Source organism: Homo sapiens, chromosome 14 (assembly GCF_000001405.40).
Source record: "Homo sapiens chromosome 14, GRCh38.p14 Primary Assembly".
NCBI classification, from domain to species: domain Eukaryota; kingdom Metazoa; phylum Chordata; class Mammalia; order Primates; family Hominidae; genus Homo; species Homo sapiens.
In genome coordinates this window covers 73,400,512-73,418,575 of record NC_000014.9, presented here as the reverse complement: position 1 = coordinate 73,418,575, position 18,064 = coordinate 73,400,512, and the positions used below count along the sequence as shown (strand labels likewise).

General features: G+C 41.8%; 1 protein-coding gene across 5 annotated transcripts in view; it reads left to right on the top strand.

Annotated features, from left to right (window-relative positions):
* The window catches only part of NUMB (NUMB endocytic adaptor protein), a 183,331-nt gene that overhangs the window by 39,971 nt on the left and 125,296 nt on the right, over positions 1-18,064 (top strand). For all 5 annotated transcript variants that reach the window (NM_001005745.2, NM_003744.6, NM_001005744.2 and 2 more), the window contains one exon: positions 8,508-8,639. The gene's annotated coding sequence lies outside the window, so the exon portion shown is untranslated. The remainder of the gene's footprint in view (positions 1-8,507; positions 8,640-18,064) is intronic.

Sequence of the window (18,064 nt, the reverse complement as noted above, 5' to 3'; positions counted from 1 at the left end):
GGTCTTGAACTCCTGACCTCAGATGATCTACCTGCCTGTGCCTCCCAAAGCGCTGGGATTACAGGTGTGAGCCACCATGCCTGGCCAAATTTACTGTTTTAACTGTTTCTAAATGTACAGTTCAGTGGCATTCAGTATGTTGACATTATTGTGCAACCATCACCACTGTACATCCCAGAACTTTTCTATTTTACAAACTGAAATGGGCACGGGCCCATTAAACAACAATTTCCTATACCCCACTCCTCTCCAGTCCACAAAACCACCATTCTCCTTTTTGTCTCTATGATTTTGACTATTCTGGTTATCTTATATACATGGAATCATACAATATTTGTTTATTTTTTGTGTCTGGCTTATTTCACTTAGCACAATTTTCAAGGTTCATCTTTGTGGCAGCAAGTGTCAGAATTTCATTATTTTTAAAGGCTGAATATTCCATTTTATGTATAGACTACATTTTTTTTTTTTGAGACAGAGTCTTGCCCTGTCACCCAGGCTGGAGTACAGTGGCATGATCTCAGCTCACTGTGACCTCCGCCTCCTGGGTTCAAGTGATTCTCCTGCCTCAGCCTCCTGAGTAGCTGGGATTACAGGCGCATGCCACCATGCCCGGCTAATTTTTGTACTTTTAGTAGAGATGGGGTTTCACCATGTTGGTCAGGCTGGTCTCGAACTCCTGACCTTGTGATCTACCTACCTCATCCTCCCAAAGTTCTGGGATTACAGGCATGAGCCATGGCTCCCGGCCTAGACTACATTTTGTTTAGCCATTCATCCATCGGTGGACACTTAGGTTGTTTTCATCTTTTGGCTACTGTGAATGATGTTGCCTTGAATATTGGTGTACAAATATCTGTTTGAGTCTCTACTTTCAGTTATTTTGGGTATATACCTAGAAATGGAATTGCTAGAATATATAGTGATTCTATGTTTAATTTGAGTAACCACCATATGCTTTACTGATTTTGTTTTTTTACATTATAGATGTATTTTTAATCAATACATACCTTTTTTTTTTTTTGAGAGAGGGTCTCACTTTGTCACCCAGGCTGGAGTGCAGTGGCTCGACCTTGGCTCACAGTGAAACAGGAGAGTTTCCTGACCCCCTTCTGGGACTTGTGATAGCGGTATGGCTCAGTTGCCCCTCACTCAAACCCCTTACAGGAGGGGGAACATGCAGACAGGCAGGTGCAGGAGCCAGGGAGAGTGCTTTTGGGCTCCAGCCCCATGGTAGCGTCTAGGAGTGTGTTACAATTAATGCTCTTTTAGCAGTTGCCATCTACAGATGGCTAAGTGTGTAAGTCAGAGTGAAGCCTTTTACACTCTGCCCTCTTGTTACCTGAGTCCTTGTCTGGCATCCAGGAAGGATAAGGTCACACATGGACTTGAGGGTGGTGAATGCAGAGGTTTTATTGAGTGATGGAAGTGGCTCTCAGCAGGATGATGGGGAAGCTGGAAAGGGGATGGAGTGGGAAGATGATCGTCGCCTGGAATTCGGCCATCCTGTGACCGATCTCCTCTCCAGCCATCCCCAGCCAAACTCCTCTCAATGTTCAGATGCTCCTTCTCTTCTCCTCTGCCATGCCATTCTGCTGCTCTTCTGTTCTGCTCTTCTGCTTGTGGAGCCTGGGGGTTGGGGTTTCAATGGGTACAGGATAAGGGGGCGTGGTGGGCCCAAAGGCAACATTTAGGCACAAAAACAGGAATGCTTGTTCCCATTTAGGGCCGGCCTTTGCTGGAGAACTGCCCTCTTCTACCCTGTATTTCCCTGCCTGCTGTCTGTATTAACTGCAACCTCTGCCTCCCAGGTTCAAGTGATTCTCATGCCTCAGCCCCCCAAGTAGCTGGGATTTACAGGCATGTGCCACCACACCTGGCTAATTTTTGTATTTTTAGTAGATAAGGGCTTTTGCCACATTGGCCAAGCTGGTCTAGTACTCCTGGCCTCATGTGATCCTCCCTCCTTGGCCTCCCAAAGTGATGGGATTACAGTCTGAGTCACTGCCCTCAGCCTATACATACATATTTGCACACTTATTTATTTTGGATACATTTTCTAGAAGTGTAACTATTGGGTCAAAGGATGGGCATAATTTTGAAATGTGATTATTTTCTAAAGAGCTTTTATACTGATATGCCATTGTTGGATAAAGCCCTGCTAGTAGTGAATAGGAGTGCGCCCCCACAACCTTTAAACTTATTCTAACTGGCATAGTGATTCTAGTAAAAAAAAAAAAAAAGAAAAGAAAAAGTAAGAGTATTTACTGTGGTTTTTCCAACTAACATAATTTTTTCCCTTAAGCATATTTTGTATGGAGAATGTGTCAAATTTCGTTGTTTTGCAGGTCTCAATAAAGCTTGTATGTTGTGCTTAAGTTGCTCTTCTCTGATCTGTTCCTCTAGTGGCAGATACCTGGATGTAAACAATCTGGGTGTTCATTTATCTTCATGGAATTTACAAAAGACTTTTAATCTAGGAAGTGGCATAAAATGTCACAGTGGATATTAAATGTTTATCTATAGGGGAAAATTTGGCAAGCCAAATCTTTGAACCAACAGCCTTTAGTTGAGTTCTGTGAATTCACTGTGAAGTGCCAGCATTTCCAATTGTTTATAGAAATCTAGATTTTTTTTCTTTCTTTTGTAGTACTGTTTTAGAAATAATCTGTTTTCATATTTCCTCTTTATTATAAAACATAGCCTGCTCTAATTCTAAAGTATTGCATAATTACTACTAACATCCATTTATCATGGCTTCTTGACTAGCATCGTTGGAATATTGGTTTTCTTGAAAATAGTTACAAGAGGCCGGACGTGGTGGCTCACACCTGTAATCCCAGCACTTTGGGAGGCTGAGGAGGGCAGATCACTTGAGGCAGGGAGTTCGAGACCAGCCTGGCCAACATAGTGAAACCTCATCTCTACTAAAAATACAAAAATTAGCTGAGCGTGGTGGCTCATGCCTGTAATCCCAGCTGCTTGGGAGGCTGAGGCAGGAGAATTGCTGGAAGCTGGGAGGCGGAGGTTGCAGTAAGCCAAGGCCATCTCAAAAAAAAAAAAAAAAGAAAAGAAAAAATAGTTGCAAGACAGTAAGGAGAAATAGTTTATCGTGCTGGTATGGAGGCAGAAAGATGTGGAGTGTAATCATAGAAAAATGTGAAGTGTTACTTTAGTTATTTTGGCTATGTCATTGTTCATTTTGGTTATATCATTGTTCATTTTGGTCAAATAACATGTAAGGTGTTTTCACTAGTAACAATGTTGTTTCTTGCATATCTGAAAAGCCTTTACAAGACCTATTGTTATTCCTCTGTGTTTTGTTGGTATTTAGCTCTCCTTTTAACACAGTTGTTAAAACTGAAAGCAGAACATGAGAAGCAAGCACTACAGTCTGTTAAAGAATCAGACCAATGACGAAATGAAGTGAAACACATTGTTGGCTAAAAATAGCATTTTGCAAATTACATTTGAAGTTGGTTTGTTAGAGCATCTATTGGTAATGAAATTCAGCTGTTCTTATTCTGTGTTTTGTGTGTATTTTTAAAACATCATTATCAGCTGGGCGTGGTAGCGCACCTGTATCCCAGCACTTTGGGAGGCCGAGGCAGGCAGATCACAAGGTCAGCAGATCGAGACCATCCTGTCTAACACGGTGAAACCCTGTCTCTACTAAAAATACAAAAAAATTAGCTGGGCGTGGTGGTGGGCGCCTGTAGTCCCAGCTACTCGGGAGGCTGAGGCAGGAGAATAGCGTGAACCCGGGAGGCGGAGCTTGCAGTGAGCTGAGATCACGCTACTGCACTCCAGCCTGGGCAACAGAGCGAGACTCAGTCTCAAAACCCGCCCCCCCCGCACCCGCCCCCAGAAAAACCGGTCATTATCTGGGGGCCAGGCACGATGGTTCATGCCTATAATCCCAGCAAATTGGGAGGCTGAGAAGGGCAGATCGCTTTGAGCTCAGGAGTTCAAGACTAGCCTGGGCATCATGGTGAAACCCCATCTCTATGAAAAATTAGCTGGGTGTTGCTGGCTTGCACCTGTAGTCCCAGCTACTCAGGTGGCCGAGGCTAGAGAATTGCTTGAGCCAGGAAGCGGAGGTTGCAGTGAGCCATGATCACACCACTGCATTCCAGCCAGAGCGACAGAGTGAGACCCTGTCTCAAAACAAACACCCCTGCAACATTATCTGAAAGTAGATGGCCATGCAAAATGAGTTTCTCTTGCTTTTTAACTAGTTTTTCCTTTAAGACCATATAAGCCTTTCCTATAGTCTCTGAAAACTTAAGGCTGTAATACTTGGAATTAAGAGTAAATGAAGGCTGGGTGTGGTGGCTTACGCCTGTAATCCCAGCACTTCGGGAGGCTGAGGTGGGTAATCACTTGAGGTCAGGAGTTTGAGACCAGCCTGGCCAACATGGTGAAACCCCGTCTCTACTAAAAATACAAAAATATTAGCCGAGTGTGGTGGCATGTGCCTGTAGTCTCAGCTACTCAGGAGGCTGAGGCATGAGAATCCCTTGAACCCGAGAGGTGGAGGTTGTAGTGAGCTGAGATCGTGCCACTGCACTCCAGCCTGGGTGACAGAGTGAGACTCTGTATCAAAAAAAAAAAAAAAAGAAAAAACATTTGAGATAATTAAATTTAAAACAGTAAAATTCAGGTGTGACTGCTTAATATTATAATACTGCATTGGTTTGTGGGCTTTTAAAGGCAGGAACTGTATCACTGTGTTTAGCATACATAATAAAAGAACTCTTTGTTTTGTTTGTTTGTTTTTATTTTGTTTGTTTTGACTTGGAGTCTTGCTCTGTCACTCGGGCTAGAGTGTAGAGTGCAGTGGCACGGTCTGGGCAGTGGCGCAATCTCTGCTCACTGCAACCTCCACCTCCTGGGTTCAAGCGATTCTTATGCCACAGCCTCCTGAGTAGCTGGGACTACAGATGCGCACCACTAGGCCTAGCTAATTTTTGTATTTTTGGTAGAGACGAGGTCTTACCATGTTGGCCAGGCTGGTCTCGAACTCCTGACCTCAGGTGATCCACCCGTCTCGACCTCCCAAAGTGCTGAGATTACAAGCGTGAGCCACCATGCCCCGCCTTATTTTTTAGAAAAAGAATCAAATCATTAGAAGCAAATGTTCCCAGTTCTGGTAAAATCTGATTTTTAAATACAAAATTATTTAATTAAAAAATAGGCACAGTGGCTCACGCCTGTAATCCCAGCACTTTGGAAGGCCGAGGCGGGTGGATCACGAGGTCAGAAGTTAAAGACCAGCCTGGCCAACATGGTGAAACCCTGTCTCTACTAAAAATACAAAAATTAGCTGGGCGTGGTGGTGTGTGCCTGTAGTCCCAGCTACTTGGGAGGCTGAGGCAGGAGAATTGCTTTAACCCAGGGGAGGCAGAGGTTGCAGTGAGCCGAGATCACGCCACTGCACTCCAGCCTGGGTGACAGAGCAAGACTCTGTCTCAAAAAATAATAATAATAAATAATAAAAATAAAAATAATAAAAAATAAAAAATAGGCTCTGGAGTCAGACAGCCTGTTTTATTTTACTACTCTTTTAAAAACCCCATACCCACTACTTCGTATTTTTGTGATCTTGGAAGTTATTTGTGCCTCAGTTTTCCTAGTTATGAGAATATTTAATAGTTGCTTTTGGCAGGGCACAGTGGCTCATGACTGTAATGCCAAGGTGGGAAGACACTTGAGGCCTGGAGTTTGAAGCCAGTGTGGGCAACATGACAAGACCCTGCTTATAAAAAAATAAGAAGAATTGGCCAGACATGGTGGCACATGTCTGTAGTCCCAGCTACTTGAAAGGCTGAGAGGCAGAAGGATCACTTGAGCTTGGGAGGTTCAGGCTACAGTGAGCTATGATCATCACGGCTCTCCAGGCAACAGAGCAAGACACCCCATCTCTTTTTTTTTTTTTTTTTTCTTTTGAGACGGAGTTTCGCTCTTGTTGCCCAGGCTGGAGTGCAATGGTGCAATCTCGGCTTACTGCAACCTCCACCTCCTGGGTTCAAGCCATTCTCCTGCCTCAGCCTCCCGAGTAGCTGGGATTACAGGCATGTGCCACCATGCCCAGTTAATTTTGTATTTTTAATAGAGATAGGGTTTCTCTATGTTGGTCAGGCTGGTTTCAAACTCCCGACCTTAGGTGATCTGCCTGCCTCAGCCTCCCAAAGTGCTGGGATTACAAGCGTGAGCCACCGTGCCCAGCCAAGACCCCTCATCTCTTTAAAAAATAGTCAATTTCATGAGAGTTATTGAGGATTAAATGGGATAATCCATAGGAGGTGCTTAGAAGAGCTTTTGGCAAATAATCAGTCCCCATTAAATGTTAGCTGCCCAGCTGGGCGTGGTGGTGTATGCCTGTAAACAGCAGTTTGAGAGGCCAAGGTGGGAGGATTACTTAAGCCCAGGAGTTTGAGACCAGCCTGTGTGAGATTGTCTTTATAAAAAAATTTTTTAAAAATTAGGTGGGCATGGTGGCATGCATCTGTAGTCCTAGCTACTTGGGAGGCTGAGGTGGGAGGATCACTTGAGCCCAGGAGTTTGAGACTGCAGTGAGGCATGATTGTACCACTGCACTCTAGCCTGGGTAATAAATCAAGACCCTGTCTCAAAAAAAAAAAAAAAAAAAAAAAGTTAATTGCTGCTTGTCTTCTTATTCAGGAACAGCACTATTGCATTGTCTGGTGAATTTATTTTGCTTCTAAAACATGCATGTATATTCAGATAGCAATATGACAGATGTGGGCACAAAATACACATTTAAAATTAGTTTTGGATAAAAGTTCTAAGAATTTTTACTTTTAGCTACTATAACTTTAATTTCTGTAAAAATAGATTAGCCGTTTACCAATTTATTCCGTTATTTTTTCTAATAAACTTTATTGATACCTGCTATTTATTAGGCATTGTACTAGATGCTAGGAATATAAAGTGGAGCAAACTTAGTTATGACCTTCAGCTGCTTAGAAGCTAGTGAAGAAAAGCACTACTGAGTTTTATAGTGTTTTAAACAAACACATATTTACAGTTTTGTAAATAACTTGTACCATGTCGTTATTAAAATGATTTTTTCTTTTTTTGTCTCCTGGAAGGTGTGTGAGCTGAACATTTTCACCTTTTGGATTGGCCTCTTATAGCATCTTATCTGTTTACCACAATTCTGTGGTATCTGCAATCATTATTATTTTGCAAATAAACTTGAGGTTTAAAGAGGTTATAATTAACTCATCCTACGACTACAAAACTCACTTTAAAAGTTTACTAAGTTGTAAAACTCATTCATTCAGCCTGCGCAACATAGTGAGACCTCATCTGTACCCACCCCCACCCCCACCCTCTACTTTCCCCCAAAAATTAGCCGGTCATGATGGCACATGCCTGTAGTCCCAGCTACTCAGGAGGTGGAGGTGAGAGGATCGCTTGAGCCTGGCAGATTGAGGCTGCAGTGAGCCGAGATCACGCCACTGCACTCCAGGCTGGCAGGCAGAGCGAGACCCAGTCTCCAAAATACAAAACAAAATCCATCCTATCATTCTTCCTCCCATATATTATAAGATTCATAACCTGTATTAGAAGACTTAACCCATTTATGTTGTATTTGAGATATATGTGTCTATTTCCCTATTAAAATTGGGAGCTTTTCAGAGGAGGGACTAATCTTACGTTTTGGGTAGCCCAGCAACAAGTAGACTACCTTTACATATTGGTTACCTAATAAATATTAGTTGAATAGTGAGTATGTAGGCTGTTAGAAGTATAAGGAATTTTAGAGTTCATGTAAATCATACAGACACTAGAATTTCTAAAAAGAATTTATAGATTGCTTACATAGAATTACAGCTCTTTATTTTGGCTATGGAGAACTTAAACAACAACTGCTACCATCTACTGTTACTTTCACATAATCTCATAAAAGAAGCCATTTTAACACCAAAAATGTAGGAAGGACAGTTTCATAGTAAGCATAATTGGTAACTTTATACATAGTTTTTAGTCATGGCTCGCATCTGTTCAAGAATTAGATTTGAACAACCACTATTTAATTCAACCTTCCCCTTTTAGAGATGATAAAATCAATCCCATAGAGACGTATCAAAGTTCTTACAGCAAGGGAGAATGATCACTGAGTTTGGAACCCAGGTCTTCTGACTCCTAGCCCAAAATTTTGATCTGGTTCCCTCAGTCTTCATCACAGTATCAGACTTATGCACGGAGAATTTGTGACTTAACTGAGATCGTATAGCTCTTAAGAATGTAAGGCTGGAACTTGAACCCATATTATCCACCTCAGTTTTTAAAATTGTTATTATTTTTGCCCTGTTTCAAGAATTGCACAGGCCAACTCTATTTTTAGTGAAACCTGTGCATTCATTTCCATATATCGTAACCAACTCCATCAGTCCTTACTCAACTATAGATGTGAAATTTTAAGTGATTGAAAGGAGATATGTATATTTAAGATTTTCTTTCCTTGAAAATTTCAGATTTGAGGCTTAAGCAACTTCTTCCGGGGAAGAGTGCCAGTGCAGCCACTGTTACAATTCAAGATCTTGATCTATATCCATAGATTGGAATATTGGTGGGCCAGCAATCCTCAGACGCCTCACTTAGGACAAGTAAGTGAAAGAGATACTTAAGGATAAGCAAAGTGGATTGAAAGCTAACAGTCTTTCTTCCAGTTTGTAGTTAGATGCAAACATTTTATTGCCTTTACAAATATAACCCTTTGTCCTGGTAAAATCACTTGGAATCTTAGGTGGGTAGGGTGAAACATTTCCTTAATTGTAAAATGTGTGTCAAAATGTTTTATAATGGTAAAACTTAGAATAATTAAAATTGTTTTTCTTTTTGTCTGTTTTCCAGATTGTATTTATGAGCTTGTGTTGCAGTTATCTATTGCTGTGTAACAAAGTACCTCAAACTTAGTGGCTTAAAACAACAGTCATTTATTTTGTTCATATATTTGCAGTTTGAGCAAGGCTTGATTGGTAGGGATGCTTGTCTCTGTTAACATACAGCATGAGGTGGGGTGGCTGGAAGGGTTGGAGTGGCTCAGTGGCTGGGAACTGGGATCCTTTGAAGGTAGGCTTGCTCACTCACATATCTGGTGGTTAAAGCTGGCTGTTGGCTAGGACCTCAGCCTGGGCTGTTGGCAAGAACACCTTCATGTGACTTCTCCTTGTGGCTGCTTGGCTTCTTCACAGCATGGTGCCTGGGTTCCGAGAGAGAGAGCATCCCAAGAGAGGAAGGCAAAGGTGCATGGCATATTTGACTTGGTTTTGGAAGTCACATAGTGTTACTTTGCTCTGTCCTACTGGTTGATGTAGTTGTAAAGGTTCTCCCAAGTTTCAAGGAAGCTGTGGACATAGACCCCACCACTTGAAAGGATCAACATCATATTGTAAGAAGAGCATATGGGATGGAATCTAACGTTGTAGGCATCTTTGGATAATATCTGCCACAATTTGTATTACTTTTGAGATAAAGAATATAAATAACATGTAATATATGAAAAAGAGGAATATTTACAGGATATTATGGTGTATGAGTTCAATAAGAATTTGATGTGTTCTTGTGTAGTAGAGGATGATATTGAAAATAAGATGTCTAAACAGAAATAAAGTGAAATAGATTTGGAATTTTCTTTCTTTCTTTCTTTCTTTTTTTTTTTTTTTGAGAAGGAGTTTTGCTCTTGTTGCCCAGGCTGGAATGCAATGGCACGATCTTGGCTCACTGCAACCTCTGCCTCCTGGGTTGAAGTGATTCTCCAGCTTCAGCCTCCCGAGTAGCTGGGATTCCAGGCTTGTGCCACCACACCCGGCTAATTTTGTATTTTTAGTAGAGACGGGGTTTCACCATGTTGGTCAGGCTGGTCTTGAACTCCTGACCTCAGGTGATCCACCCTCCTTGGCTTCCCAAAGTGCTGTGATTACAGGTGTGAGCCACCGCGTCCAGCCTGGAATTTTCTTTTGTGTCAACAAAACAGTATACTGCTACAATCAAAAGTAGAGACAAAAGTTTATAAACAAGATGAAAAATAAGATTTGTAGTTTGGAGTTTTGTTGTTGTTGTTTTTAAGAACACGTTAGTTCAAAGCCTACTTGGGTCTTTTTTTTTCTTGTTTGTTTGAATAATTTGATAATTATTTGGGAAATTGATTTCCAATATAAATTTGAGGACTGAGTGCCAATATTATCATTATATACCTCCAAATTTGTTTTGTCTGTCTCTGTTTCTTTAAAGGAAGTCTTTTTCAGGATTGTACAGTCTTACCTGCTAAATTTCTGGTAAATATCTTAACGTTTTTTCTTTCCTTTTTTTTTTTTGAGACGGAGTCTTGCTCTGTCGCCCAGGCTGGAGTGCAGTGGCGCAATCTCAGCTCACTGCAAGTTCTGCCTCCCAGGTTCATGCCATTCTCCTGCCTCAGCCTCCCGAGTAGCTGGGACTACAGGCATGTGCCACTATGCCCAGCTAATTTTTTGTATTTTTAGTAGAGACGGGGTTTCACCATGTTGGTCAGGATGGTCTCAATCTCCTGACCTTGTGATCTGCCCGCCTCGGCCTCCCAAAATGCTGGGATTACAGGCATGAGCCACCACGCCCGGCCAAGTTTTTTCAGTGGGATGAGAAAACTGCAAAGTTACAGAGTATTTTGTTGCCTTATTGACTGCTACCAGTTATATAAACTGCCTGTGGCAGGTTTGAATATAGGTAATTCTCAAATTCTGGATGTGATGGAAAATATTTTTAGAGAATTCTGTAAACATCACATGTGATTGTGGTCTGTGCACTATAGGAATGGACAATAGGCTTTAGGAAGCAGAAGACCCAGAAGATTTTCTTGCTATCTAGATACTTTCTCATTCCAAAGTGATTTACATCATAATGAGTTTAATTTAACAGAGTCGGTTCAGCACTATTTCCCTAGTACTTGCAGGTAAAATTCTATAATGGAAAATAACTGAACCACCTAGTGTGTCAATAGAGGCAATATCAGAAGTTTGTTAATTCTCAACTGCGAATGATCAGAATTGACTGATTTTTGTGAAACAATATATTTTAGTTCAGAAGTTACAGTAATTGAGAAAGCTGTTTTTGTTTTTGTTTTGTTTTGAGACAGGGTCTTGCTCTGTTGCCCAGGGAGGAGTGCAGTTAGCACTACAACCTCCACCTCCTGGGCTCAAGTGCTCCTCTCATCTCTGCCTCCAGAGTAACTGGGACTACAGGAGCATGCTACCATGCCTGGCTAATTTTTGTATTTTTTGTAGAAATGGGGTTTTGCTGTATTGCCCAGGCTTGTCTCAAACTCATGAACTCAAGCCATCTGCTCATCTCGGCCTCCCAAAGGGCTGGGATGACAGGAGTGAGTTTGTTTTTTTTGTTTTTTTTTTGCATTTAAAAACAAGATGAGGCCTGGCATGGTGGCTCACTCCTGTCATCCCAGCACCTTGGGAGGCCCAGGTGGGTGGATTACTTGAGGCCGGGAGTTGGAGGCCAGCCTGGCCAAAATAGTGAAACCCCGTCTCTACTAAAAATACAAAAAATTAGCTGGACGTGGTGGTGCACGCCTGTAACCCCAGCTACTCTGGAGGCTAAAGTGGGAGAATCAAACAACCCCATCAAAAAGTGGGCGAAGGATATGAACAGACACTTCTCAAAAGAAGACATTAATGCAGCCAACAGACACATGAAAAAATGCTCATCATCACTGGCCATCAGAGAAATGCAAATCAAAACCACAGTGAGATACCATCTCACACCAGTTAGAATGGTGATCATTAAAAAGTCAGGAAACAACAGGTGCTGGAGAGGATGTGGAGAAATAGGAACACTTTTACACTGTTGGTGGGAGTGTAAACTAGTCAACCATCGTGGAAGACAGTGTGGCAATTCCTCAAGGATCTAGAACTAGAAATACCATTTGACCCAGCCATTGCATTACTGGGTATATACCCAAAAGATCATAAATCATGCTACTATAAAGACACATGTACATGTATGTTTATTGCGGCACTATTCACAATAGCAAAGACTTGGAACCAACCCAAATGTCCATCAATGATAGACTGGATTAAGAAAATGTGGCACATAGACACCATGGAATACTATGCAGCCATAAAAAAGGATGAGTTCATGTCCTTTGTAGGGACATGGATGAAGCTGGAAACCATCATTCTCAGCAAACTATCACAAGGACAGAAAACCAAACACCGCATGTTCTCACTCATAGGTGGGAATTGAACAATGAGAACACTTGGACACAGGAAGGGGAACATCACACACCGGGGCCTGTCATGGGGTGGGGGGAGGGGGGAGGGATAGCATTAGGAGATTTACCTAATGTAAATGATGAGTTAATAGGTGCAGCACACCAACGTGGCACATGTATACATATGTAACAAACCTGCACGTTGTGCACATGTACCCTAGAACTTAAAGTATAATAAAAAAAAAAAAAAACAAAAATATGTTAATATTCTGTGGAGAATATTGGTATTTTTGTTTTAATCTTCTGTGGGTTGTGGTTCCATATAAATTCAGTTTTCTGAGCTTTGGCAGTGTTATTCAGATCTGTCCCACAAGTGTTCCACCCATTGGTCAGTCTGGGATCTGGGTGTAGGTCTACTCATTATCTCAGTTATCAGAGTTTTTATTATGCCAATTGGTATCAGATGCATACCTACACAGGTTGAGGATGAGCCCAGCAGTTCATAAACAACATTATGGGGTCACTTTCCTATGGACAGAGAGAGAAGAAAAAAAACCCAAAACAACAGAGTTTGTCCTGCCCACTTGGAGGCACGGCTCCACAGGATGGAGAGAAAGGTTCCCTTCCTTCAAAAGTTTTGTTCCTGGAGGCTTTCCATTCCCAGATTCTTCTGTTGTTGCTGCTGCCCCCACCATGGATGACCTGGGGACTGACACATGAGAGTATGGAGTTTTCCCAAGCTGCTGAGCACAGTGGCTCACACCTGTAATCCTAGCACTTTGTGGGGATGAGGCGGGAGGATAACTTGAGCCCAGGAGTTTGAGGTTGTGGCGAGCTGTGATTGTGCCACTGCATTCTAGCCTGGGCAACAGAGTGAGATCCTGTCAAAAAAAAAAAAAAAAAAAAAAGAGAAAGAAAAAAATACCTAAAGGATTTCCCTCATCTTCTCTGAGCTGTAGGAGTTCCCTTTACGGGCCTTGAGCCAGAGCTAGAGGGTTCTGTTTCTCTCTCTGCCTGCACCATTGTGCTCACTTCTGGGTTTTAGGTTGTGTTGAGTTCAGGCTGGAGGATACTAGAGGAAAAAAATGATAAACTCACAGCTAGTTTGGGGATAGTTGGAATTCTGTTGATTTCCCTGGATCCACCTGTGATATTTACTTTACAGCATCTTCAAATAGCTGTTCATGCATTCCATCCCAGTGTTATAGTTAACTGGAAGATAAAGGGAGATATATTTACTTCATCTTACCAAGCGAGAAATCTTCCCAACATTTTTAACTTTTTGTTTTGAAATAATTTTCTCACGCCTGTAATCCCAGCACTTTGGGAGGCAGAGGCGGGCAGGTCACAAGGTCAGGAGTTCGAGACCAGCCTGGCCAACATGGTGAAACCCTGTCTCTACTGAAAATATAAAAATTAGCCGGGCTCAGTGGTGCGTGCCTGTAATCCCAGCTACTCTGGAGGCTGAGGCATAAGAATTGCTTGAACCCGGGAGGCGGAGGTTGCAGTGAGCTAAGATCACACCATTGCACTCCAGCCTGGGTGACAGCAAGACTCCGTCTCCAAAAAAAAAAAAGAAAATCATTTTAGATTCACAGAAAGGTATAAAAATATGAAAATGAAGTCCTATATGCCCTTTACCAAGTTACATAGCTGTAGTACAATACCAAAACCAGGAAATTAACATTAACACCAACTTTTTATTATGAAATATTTCAAATGTACAAGAATGTTGTAAGACATATGTTGAACATCTGTATATCCCCCACTGATATTTCAATATTTTTTCACATTTTCCCATGCTTTATATGTGTATTCTAATATGTATGTATCCTCTTTTATATAAACCACTTGAAAGTAAGTTGTAGACAACATAATTTACCTCTAAATACTTGAGCATGCATCTTCTAAGAAAAAGGATATTATACTTTATAAACATTTATTATTGAATGCAAACTATTTTTTCCTGTAACCCCAAGACCCTGATCATACCTTAACTATGAATTTTTTTCAACAAGAGTCTTGACGTTCCAGGGCTTTTGTTTTGAAGCATGTTATTATTATTATTATTATTATTATTATTTTACCTTTTTTTGTTTTTTGAGACATAGCCTTGCTTTGTCACCAAGACTGGAGTTCAGTGGCACAATCTCAGCTCATTGCAACCTCTGCCTCCCAGGCTCAAGCGATTCTTGTGTCTCAGCTTGCCAAGTAGCTGGGATGACAGACATGCGCCACCATGCCTCGCTAATCTTTTTTTTTTTTTTCAGACGGAGTCTTGCTCTGTCGCTCAGGTGATTTCGGCTCACTGCAACCTCCGCCTCTGGGGTTCAAGTGATTCTTCTGCCTCAGTCTCCTGAGTAGCTGGGACTACAGGGCCGCGCCACCATGCCTGGCTAATTTTTGTATTTTTAGTAGAGACGGGGTTTCAGCATATTGGCCAGGCTGATTTCAAACTCCTGACCTCATGATCCGCCCGCCTCGGCCTCCCAAAGTCCTGGAATTACAGGCATGAGCCACCATGCCTGGCCTCTTTTTTTTTGTATTTTTAATAGAGACAGGGTTTTGCCATGTTGGCCAGGTTGGTCTCAAACTCCTGGCCTCAAGTGATTTGCCTGCCTCGGCTTCCCAAAGTGCTGGGATTACAGGCGTGAGCCACCATGCCCCGCCAATCTCTTGAAGGCTTATATTATTGTTCAAGGATGTGTCCCTTCTGATGACATACTTCTGGTAATTATCTTGAGAGTCTGGGCTCTTACCATGTGTGCAATTCAGAGCCCAGGGAGCTCCCCGATTCTGTATTCTTGTCTCTCATTCTTTCCTCAGCTCAGGCTTCTCACAGCTTCCTGAGCAAATACTCAGAATAGTCCTCATCAGGAGATTGTAATTTTGTCAGACTAATTTAGGACTAGTATGTGACTTTGTTTTTAATTATTAGCCAGGAAGTTACTTACAGTTAAAATTGTGGTGGAGTTTCTGATATGGTGATATATAATGGGTGAATCAGGCTGTAAGCAGTTGAAAACCTGACTATAAAGCTTACATAAATCTGAAGTTGGCAGCTGCTCATGTTGCTTTAATGGTTCAACATTGTTGGGGCCTATGAATTTGTGATTTGCTTGGCCTTTCATGGTCTTAAGATGGCTACTGCAGGTCCAGCCTTCCACCTACATTCAAGGAAGAAGGAAAAAGACTATGCCAAGGAAAAGCTTTCTTATTAGTGATTCCAGCAAGTCACTTCTGATGTTCCAAGGGCCAAAATTGGGTCATATGGTCACCTCCAGCTGTTTTCGTCTTTTGGCCTCTGTAATGAGAGGCAAGGAGGGAGTAGGGATTTGGGAATGGCCTTTTGAGTAACCAGTTAACATCTGTCACAGTTATATGATTACATTTATTTTATATCAAAATTGTGTTTGTTTGACTTCAATGTGATGTTCAGCACATAGGTGCTTTATTATTACATAATACACATTTAACTGGGTAGTGTGGAGAACCAAAGGACTAAAAATAGTAAAGATAATTTTAAATTTAGTTGTGAAAGTGAGCTTTTGATAACGCAAAGTGAAACTTGGCTTGAATCTTGAGACCTTGGGCAAGTTACTGAGTTTATAAGCTTCTGTTTCCTCATCTGTAAAATGGAATTAATAATATCTGACTTTCAAGGCAGTCGTGAAGTGTGAAGGAGATAATTTATGTAAAGTACCTAATACAGTGCCTAATACATTGGAGGTGCTACAATGGAAGATATTATTATTATAATTGTTTGGTATGTGGACATTGGGGTAGAGTGAGAGAGCACAGACTTTATAGTAGAAGATTATATTTGATTCCTAGTTACACTACATAGTTGTGTGTTCTTAGGCAAATCAATTAATCTCTCTGAGATAGTAATATAGTGTGTAATCTCTGAGGATTGTTAGATTAGATATATCTACAGTGCAATACTTTATGGGCTCTCAGTAAAAGGCATCTGCTCCTGCTATTTTTAGTTATTATTTTTATGTTTTAGGATCCATATAACAGATAGGGAATCAGTCATTTAATTTACTCTAGAAATGTATTTGTGATCAAGGAGATACTGTTGATTAGTAGTATTTTTCTCCATCTGTTGAAGAAAAATAGCTGCAGAAACTGGATTTGAATTATGAGGTCTTTTCCCACCATGATAAAAAGTTTTTAGCCAGGTGCAGTGGCTCACTCCTGTAATCCTAGCACTTTGGGAGGCTGAGGCAGAGGAATCACTTGAGCTCAGGAGTTTGATTGCAGCCTGGGCAAACATAGTGAGACCTTGTCATTACAAATAATTCTAAAAAATTAGCTGGACATGGTGGTGCGTGCACGTGGTCCTAGCTACTCACGAAGGCTGAGGCAGGAAGATTGCTTGAGCCCAGCAGTTTGAGGCTGCAGTGAGCTCTGATTGTACCCCACTGCTCTCCAGCCTGGGTGACAGAGACCCTGTCTCAAAAACAAATTTAGGCCGGATGTGGTGGCTCACGCCTGTAATCCCAGCACTCTGGGAGGCCGAGGTGGGCGGATCACAAGGTCAGGAGATCGAGACCATCCTGGCTAGCACAGTGAAACCCCATCTCTACTAAAAATACAGAAAATTAGCTGGGCGTGGTGGCAGGCACCTGTGGTCCCAGCTGCCTGGGAGGCTGAGGCAGGAGAATGACTTGAACCTGGGAGGTGGAGCTTGCAGTGAGCCAAGGTCATGCCACTGCACTCCAGCCTGGGCGACAGAGCGAGACTCCGTCTCAAAAAAAAAAAAAAAAAAAAAAAATTTAGTCTTACATATTTTGTTAGTGGTTTCCGTTGTACACATGGATGTGCTCTGGTGCCTTTGACATGAACCTTCCAGATCTGTACTTCTTTGTTTTGTTTGTTTATAGCCAGTTAGTCATTATTGGTTCATGAGTACCATCCCCTGTTTTTTTTTTTGTTAGTTTTGGAAGACTTAATTTTTTTAGAACAGTTTCAGGTTTATAGCAAAATTGAGCAAAAAAAATACAGAGAGTTTCCATATACCTGTTGCCCCCACAAACCCACAGCCTTTCTTACTGTCAACATTCCTTACCAGAATAGTACACAGGAGATATAAGAAAAATCAAACCAATACAAACTCAGTATAACACAGCACCTCTGGTCACCAAAATGCGTGGGGATTTCTATCTACCAGCAACCCAGTCAATTCTTTGGCAGACACCAGCTGGGTATCCTACATTTTAACTCAATTCTGACATTATTTACTTGGAGATAGAATCAGATCCCACAGGTTGAGGGCTCAATCCCCTACTTAAATTGCAAGCCCCACGTTGTGTCCTGTGCTTCTGGCTGATTAGCCATAAATTGGGGTTACCACAGCTCCCTCTTTTGGTTCAATTAATTTGCTAGAGTGGCTCACAGAACTCAGGGAAACACTTCATTTACATTTATTGGGTTATCATAAAGGGTATTACAAAGGAGACAGATGGAAGAGATGCATAGGGCAAGGTATGTGGAAAGGGGCATGCCATGCCTTCTTCAGGTGTGCCACCCTCCTGGAACCTCCAAGTGTTCATCTATCCGGAAGCTCTCCAAACCCTGTCCTTTCGGGTTTTTATGGAAGCCTCATTACATAGGCATGATTGATTAAGTCATTGGCCATTTGTAATCAGCTTACCCTTCAGCTCCTCTTCCCTCTCTGGAGGTTGGGGGCAACCCTCTTATCATGCCTTGGTCTTTCAGGTGACCAGCCCTTATCCTTGAAGCTATCTAGAGATGTCCAGCCACTGTCATCTCATTAGCATGTAAAAGATACTCATCACTCCAGAGGTGCCAATGGTTTTATGAGGT